General features: G+C 40.1%; 1 annotated feature.

The window, feature by feature from the left end:
- Positions 598–1,126: an enhancer, noted in NCBI's record as "NANOG hESC enhancer chr3:492506-493034 (GRCh37/hg19 assembly coordinates)". NCBI's record gives its function as "activates a minimal SCP1, AML or CMV promoter by ChIP-STARR-seq in primed H9 embryonic stem cells {active_cell/tissue: H9 hESC(primed)}" and the evidence as "EXISTENCE:reporter gene assay evidence [ECO:0000049][PMID:30033119]".

Here is an 8,515-nt window from a genome sequence, read left to right as displayed (position 1 = left end):
TTTGGAAAGAAAAAAATGGATGTCAAAGTGTTATATTAAACTCTTAAGCTAGCTGTATATAGTAGAAAATTTAAAACTCAATTCTTTTGAATGATCCCTTATATCAGAAATTATATTATTCAATACCAATTAGAATTCTATTACTAAAAGCTGACACTTATTCAGCATTTTGTGGGCTGGTACTACTCATTTATTCCGTCTAACAACTGAGGAAGGTGGCACTATTGTTATCTCAGTTTTGGAGTTGTGAAAACTATGCCAGATTGGAGAGGAAAGTAAGAGAATTTAGTTAACAACTTCATTGAAATGGTTTACTTTGATATTGTTTTGTTAACATAAGATTTCCTATCATTATAACAAACTCCAAGTCACAAGTCCCCTACCTTGTAGCTAAGCCTTCTTGGGGCTCATAAATAGCATAGAGAAGCCTGAATCAAGTCTGTTTGTCTCACAAAAAATATAAAAGGTTTTATGTCCCAAATGTCATGCACTAGGAATCTCCCTAAATATGTAGAGTACATACTTTTCCTACATTTCCTCTCATGGTTCTCCCTATACTCCCAGAACGATCCCTATCCCATGAAAACACTGAGATTAATTTTCTTCTCCTGAGCCACTTCTTCACTCTTTAGGTTATAAAAATAGCAGATATCTCAAAACCTCCAGGCTTTCAAGATACCACATGATACGGTGTTAGCCTTGGAAAGTCTGGAATTAACCCATTTAATCAATCCTAAATTAATACAGATTTTAAAAATGTATAGTATTTAAAGAGGAAAAATTTCCAGTCTCTAACTACCAAACTCACTTGGAGTAGATAGATGAGGCAAGAATGCGAGATGTGAGAGAATGTTTTCCATAATAAAAGACCATAATGAGGAGAGCTATGGGAATCTGGAAAGACCCTTTGGTATTAAATGTAGTTCTACATCATGCTGGCTCCTGGCTAAAAGAGGTAAAAAGAGAGAAGATGGATTTAGAAAATACTCTCCCCTCTGTGAAGCCTTTCCCAATTCTGCCTCACAATTAGACAAGAACCACAGAAGACATGGATTAAAGCAATGGTTTCTAAATAGAATCATTAATCTAAATCATGTGGAAGATTTTATAATATGCTTATTTGAGCCACGTCCCATATGCTGGTTCAATGCATGAAGTGAGGGTCTAGAGTGCTAGAGCTACGTTTAGATTTTTATATGGACGAGCAGGCAGATGCATGTGTGTCTGCACGTGTGAGCATGTGCATGCAGGTATAGAAAGAAAGTGTGTGTAGGGAACGAGAGTATGGGCTCTGGAACTGGATTGCCAGTGCAAGTTGTGCATCCCACCTTAATCCCTTCAGGTGTCGGTTTTCCTCCTCTGCAACAAGGAAATGATTATACTAGAATTTACTTCACAGGGTTGTGATGAAGATTAAATGACTTAATAGCTTAGGAGACTGTCTCACACATAGGAAGCACTATGTAAGTGTTTATTACAATTCTGATAACAATAACGTAACAACAATAATAATAAGGTTGAATATGTATGCACACATGAGAGTGTTTGGATGTGCCCAAGATTGTGATATAAGCATAGATCACTTTAGGCTGTTCAGGAAACAGAAATGGCTTCCTGAGGCAGGTCAAAGAATTTCAGGCTGCCATGCCATCGCCAGAGCCACAGTGAGGCTGTCCCTTTGGACCAGGGACCATGTGAAAAAAGCTATTCAGGGGCAGCAGGAACTTAAGTGATAATGGCTAGATCTGCCATAAGAAGAAGAGGGAGAGGGTGAGCAGGCATACCAGCTTTCTCCATTCCCCTGTCCTCCATTATAAGGAGTGGACATGAGAACAGTGGGACATTTGACCAGCACAATGTATCGAAGCATTCTTTGCTTGAAAGTGAATCTGTGTATATGGGTGTGGAAAGATGAATGTTGCACTGACACACATAGATACGCATCATGCGGAATTTGAAATGGCTCTACAAGCAGCATTGGTTTGGAACACACTGAGAACTGCTGGGGGGAAGAAATCTGTACACCTGGCATCTGCCCTGCTTGTGCATGAGTGCGTCCAGCCTGTTGGCCCACACTGTAGGCATGGTGCTGTTGTTGGAGGACTGCTTGGTGCTGTTTTCTATTGATGAAACAGAGCCATGCTCTGCATAATGACATTTCAGTCAATGACAGACTGCTTATACAATGTGGTCCCATAAGATTATAATACCACATTTTGACTGTACTTTTTCTATGTTTAGGTATGTTTAGATACACAAAAACTTAACTTTGTGTTACAATTGTCTTCAGTATTCAGGAAAGTAACATGCTGTATAGGTTTGTAGCCTAGGAGCCATAAGCTATACCACATAGCCTAGGTGTGCAGCCAGTTATAACATCAACATTTGTGTAAGTACACTCTGATGTTTGCACCAATGACAAAATCACCTTTCTCAGAATGAATCCCCATTGTTAAGTAACATATGACTGTATAGGTTTCATTTTTCATGTTTTTCATTTTTCGTTAATTTTTATTCTTGGCAGAGGACAGGGTCTTACTCTATCACTCTGGCTGGAGTGCAGGGGTATGAACATGACGTACTAAAGCCTCGATCTCCTTGGTTGAAGTAATCCTCCAGCCTCAGCCTCCCAAGTAGCTAAGACTACAGGCACATGTCACCACATCCAGCTGACTTTTTAAATTTGATTTAATTTTTATTTTTTTAACCTTATTTTATTTTTTGTAGAGATGGGGCCTCACTATGTTGTGTGTATATATATATATATATATATATATATATATATATATATAGTATATAAGTACATATATACACACATATGTATTATATATAATATATATTCATATATATATATATACACACGGCATTTGTAGTTTGCAAGAGAAAGTTCAAAATAAGAAATAGATGGACTTGGAAACTGCTGAACATGTTTTCAAAGGCAGAAACTCCAAGTGCTGTCAGCTAAATGTGTTTTGTGGCCTCACTGACCTTTCCATAAAAATATTGTTAAGGAATTATGTTACTTGCAAATTATTAAAGAGGGAAAATAGTGTACACTGTAGCAATAACATTTTAAGTATCTCTTACAAATAAAACAAAAGTTCACATTTTAATTAGGACAGGTTAATATGAAGTATGTTGTAAAAAAAACAAAGCAATGTTTTCGACTATTTTCAGTGAAGAAAGGAGGTATAAAAATGTCAGAATTGAATAATCTGTCAGAGAGAAGATATATGAAAACTTAACCTTTTTTTGGCACTGCCTTTACAATGCTTTCACTTCATCCTAAATTGTCTTGACCCATGATATTAACCTTTCTCGTTTCCCTTAAAGTATGTCCACACTTTGTTTTGACTCGATTTTGCTGATTTCAGCCTCCAAACAAAGTTCTTCCTATCTCCATCTTCCTTTTGTGACTTACTCATTCATACTTGTATGTCCTTCCTGGTTGGCTTCTCTTATCAGTTCATAAGTTTTCCTTTGTAGTATTCTCCCTTAGGCTTCATTTTTCCCCCCAAATACTGCACCCATTAGGTAATTTTGGTTTCAAGAAACAATGGCTTGCTCAAGGAACCTAAAAAAAAAGGGAAGTTTTGAAAGGACATACAAATATAGGGCTTAAGAGTATCTGGGCAGCCATTCATATGAAGGGCAGGAAGGCAGGCAGCTTTGAGAATCAGTCATGCCTTTGCCTCTGCCATGAGATACTACATGTCTGCCCTTCAGACATTTACTCATTTTTCCCCTTTTTTCTTCCTCTAATCTTTTTATGGCTTCTTCCACCACCCATTATTCTCTAAAATGGCAGACCCAACACCTGTGTTGATATGACCTTCCAGCCCTAACACCTGCATTTATATGACCTTCCAAGTTCATAATCAACTTTGCTCTGGGATTCTCAGTCAAATATTCTGGAGAAAGACAACCACTGTTCCAATTATCCGTGCCATGGAAGCAGGTTGTGCAGACTGCTACCTACTCAAAAAGGTTATGGATGAGCATGTACAAGAATACGCTGGATCATTTGCCTAGTATACAGGCAAGCTTCCAAATCCCTCTAATCTCTTTGGAACTCCCTTATTATGCAAATAAAGCTAGAGCTCTTTGGTTCATTGTCATAAACCATCCTTCCAAGCCCTCTCACTTTTTCTCAGAAAAGTTTAGTCGCCCAGACTGGAGTACAGCCTCACTGCAACCTCTGCCTCCCAGGCGCAAATCATCCTCCCATCTCAGCCTCCTGAGTAGATGGGACTACAGGTGCCCACCACTACACCCGGCTAATTTTTGTATTTTTTTTTTTTTTTTTGAAGAGAATGAATTTCGGCATGTTGCCCAGGCTGGTCTTGAGCTAGTAAGCTCAAACGATCCTCCCTCCTTGGCCTCCCAAAGTGCTGGGATTACAGGTGTAAACCACAGTGCCAGGCCTTAAAGAACTTACTTTAAATATCTCCCCTGAGTGAAGTGTTTATTAAAGCCATTCTTATTATATAAATGAAAATGTTCATCCAGCACAGACTTTACTGTTTGAATCAAGTGACAATGACTAAAGAAGCACAAACGTCTCATGACAGGAAACTAATAAAAGAGAGAAAATACATTTTTTTACAGATATCAAAAGCTTTAAATCACTGAATGCTGACAAATATCCCATCTGACATTTCTAATACTTGGTTACATAACACCATGATTACTTTTTACTTGTTTCACGTATATAAGCCTTAGTGTACTAATTATTTGAATGAACAAATTCAAAGTTGGGTTCTGGCAAAGTCCTCCCTGATAATAAGCAGACATTGGACATAATAATGGGTAAAAATAATTTAGCCTGCATACTTTGTTTATGTACAACTACTAATCCAGAACTTTAATCTTCTAGAAAGAAGTCAAGTTTACAGTGTTTACACATGGAAGATGCTTTAGGGTTATTGACAACTTAATGCAGAGAAAAGTGGAATTTTTTTGTTTTGTCTTGTTTTGCCTTGTTCTTGATACTGGACTAAATTGATTTGTCTAGCCTTCGGGCCCAGGCCAAAAAGGTGCTTTAAAAGAAGTTGAGACAGTGTGGCTTTAGGAACAGAATAGAAATGTGATAGTTAATAATGAGTGTCAATTTGATTGGATTGAAGGATACAAAGTATTGATCCTGGGTATGTCTGTGAGGGTGTTGCCAAAGGAAACTAAAAGTTGAGTCAGTGGGCTGGGAAAGGCAGACCCACCTTAATTTGGGTGGGCACAATATAATCAGCTGCCAGTGCAGCTAGAATAAAAGCAGGCAGAAAAATGTGAAGAGAGAGACTGGCCTAGTCTTCCAGCCTACATCTTTCTCCCTTGCTGGATGCTTCCTGCCCTGGAACATCGGACTCCAAGTTCTTCAGTTTTGGAACTCAGACTGGCTCTCCTCACTCCTCAGCCTGCAGATGGCCTACTGTGGGACCTTGTGATCATGTAAGTTAATAGTTAATAAAATACATATATATTAGTTCTGTCCCTCTAGAGAACCCTGATTAATAACAGATTTTGGTATCAGGAGTGGTTCTAGAGGAACAGAATGTTAAGGATGGAGTTCTTTTCTTGGTTTTGGGGTTTCTGGAGTTGGCTGCTTAATATGATTAGACTCAAAAATGCTAAGGACTCTACTTCTAATAGCATGGCAAACCCTGATAGTCATCGACATGAACTGTTTACAGAGTTATGCAAAGTAAATGCACTTTACACTCCTGATTCATTGCTCATGAGTGGCAAGGAGTTTAGTGACTCTACACATAATACCTTTGACCATTTGTGGAGAAGCAAGAATGTAATGAAACTGGTTGGTTGCTCCTAAGTTCAGCAGATAAAATAATGAAAGAAAATGCTGAACTCAGCGATTCTATCTCCCAGCTTCAGAAGCAGATACTGAGCTTCAAATCTGATTAGATTGCCCTGAGTGAGAGTCTTACCTCCTGTAGAGAAAGAGCTGAAATTTGGGAAAACAGACCCAAGCTCTTACCATGCAAGTGGCTGACTGCAAGAAAAGGTGCATGAACCGCCTCACCAGGTATCTACTGTTAAAGTGAGGGCATTGATTGGAAAAGAATGGGACCTTGCAACTTGGAATGGGAATGTGTGAGAGGATCCTGATGAAGCTGGGGACACTGCTGATGAATTTTTTTTTTTTTTTTTTTTTTGCCAGAAGAAACAGCTTCCCCATCCCCAGTAGTGGCAATATCCCCTCCTCGACCCATGCTGTCATGAGCCTTTCTACCTTTGTCTGAGGAGATATACCCTGTGCTGCCTGAGGCCTCCCCTGAGGCAGTTGCCAGGCAAGATAATGTTGATTCTCCTTAGGAGCAACCCCCAACACCCCTGTTTACTTCTAGACATATAACTAAAGTCCCAGTGGGTCCCTAGAGGTGGGGTTCACAGTGTGTCCCAAGAGGAGGTGCATTACACTCGAAAAGAACTGCTTGAGTTTACTAATTCATATAAACAGAAATCTGGAGAACAGACATGGGAATGGATATTAAGGCTGTGGGATAATGGTGGAAGGAACATAGAGTTGGATCAGGCTGAATTTATTGATTTGGGCCCACTAAGTAGGGACTCTGCATTTCATGTTGCAGCTCAGGGAGTTAAAAAGATTCTAATAGTTTATTTGCTTGGTTAGCTGAAATATGGATTAAAAGATGGCCCACTGTGAGTAAGCTGGAAATGCCTGATCTCACTTGGTTTAATGTAGATGAAGGGATCCAAAAGCTTAAGGAGATTCGGATGGTGGAGTGGATTACTCCCTTTAGACCTACTCATCCCAGCTGTGAGGGTCCAGAAGATATACCCTTGACTAATGCCTTGCAAAATACATTTGTGAGGGCAGCACCTGCATCTTTGAAGAGCCCTGTGGTTGCTCTTCTCTGTATGTCAGATCTAACAGTGGGACCCGCAGTCACTCAACTACAAAATTTAAATAGAGTAGGAATAACTGGATCCTGAGGTGGCACAGGCCAAGTGGCGGCACTCAATCATCAAAGGCAAGGTGGGCATAGCTACTGTCATGGACAGCAGAGGCAAGGCAGCAATCAGAATAGTCTGACTAGTGTAGAGCTCTGGTATTGGCTAATTAATCACGGTGTTGCTAGAAGTGAAAATGATAGGAAGACTACTGTATTTCTACTTAATTAATACAAGCAGAAAATTTCTAGGTCAAATGCACAAAAGACTACTTTGAATTATAAAAACAGAAAATCATCGTCCATCAATCAATTTCCAGACTTGAGCCAGTTTACAGATCTGGAACCCCTTGAATGAAGGAGAGGCCGGATCCCCTTGAGGAAAGACCCCAGTATATTACCGACAATTTATGCAGTGAATCTTTTTCCCATTCTTCCCCAAGAAGACTTCTGACCTTTTACCAGGGTAACTGTGCATTGGGGAAAGGGAAATAATAAGACATTTCAGGGACTACTGGACACTGGCTTTTGGCTGATGTTGATTCCAGGAGGCCGAAAACATCACTGTCGTCCTCCAGTTAAAGTAGGGGCTTATGGAGGTCAGGTAATTAATGGAGTTTTAGCTCAGGTCTGACTTACAGTGAGTCCAGTGGGTTACCGGACTCATGCTGTGGTCATTTCCCCAGTGCCAGAATGCAGATTTGGCATAGACATACTTAGCAGCTGGCAGAACCCCCACATTGGATCCCTGGCTGGTAGGGTGAGGGTTATTATGGTGACAAAGGGCCAAATGGAAGCCATTACAGCTGCCTCTACCTAGAAAAATAGTAAATCAAAACCAATATCACATTCCTGGAGGGATTGTGAAGATTATTGCCACCATCAGGACTTGAAAGATGCAGGGGTGGTGATTCCCACCACATCCCCATTCAACTTTCCCATTTGGCCTGTGCAGAAGACAGATGGATCTTGGAGAATGACAGTGGATTATCATAAGCTTAACTAAGCGGTAACTCCAATTGCGGCTGCTTACCAGATGTGATTTCATTGCTTGAGCAAATTAACATATCTCCTGGTACCTGCCATGCAGCCATTGACTTGGCAAATGCCTTTTTCTCCATTTCTGTTTATAAGGCTCACCAGAAGCAATTTGTCGGCAGCTGGCAAGGCCAGCAATATGCCTTTACTGTCCTACCTCAGGGGCATATCAACTCTCTGGCTTTGTGTCATAATCTTATTTGGAGGGACCTTGATCACTTTTTGCTTTCGCAAGGTATCACACTGGTCCATTACACTGATGACATTATGCTGATTGGATCCAGTGAGCAAGAAGTAGAAAACACACTGGACTTATTGATGAGGCATTTGTGTGTCACAGAATGGGAAACAAATTAGACTAAAATTCAGGGACCTTCTACCTCAGTAAAATTTCTAGGAGTCCAGTGGTGTGGGACCTGTTGAGATATTCTTTCTAAGGTGAAGGATAAGTGCTGCATTTGGCCCCTCTTACAACCAGGAAAGATGCACAATGCCTAGTGGGTCTATTTGGATTTTGGAGACAACACATTCCTCATTTGGGTGGGTTACTG

This window comes from Homo sapiens, chromosome 3 (assembly GCF_000001405.40).
Source record: "Homo sapiens chromosome 3, GRCh38.p14 Primary Assembly".
NCBI classification, from domain to species: domain Eukaryota; kingdom Metazoa; phylum Chordata; class Mammalia; order Primates; family Hominidae; genus Homo; species Homo sapiens.
This window is presented reverse-complemented; position numbering and strand designations above follow the sequence as displayed.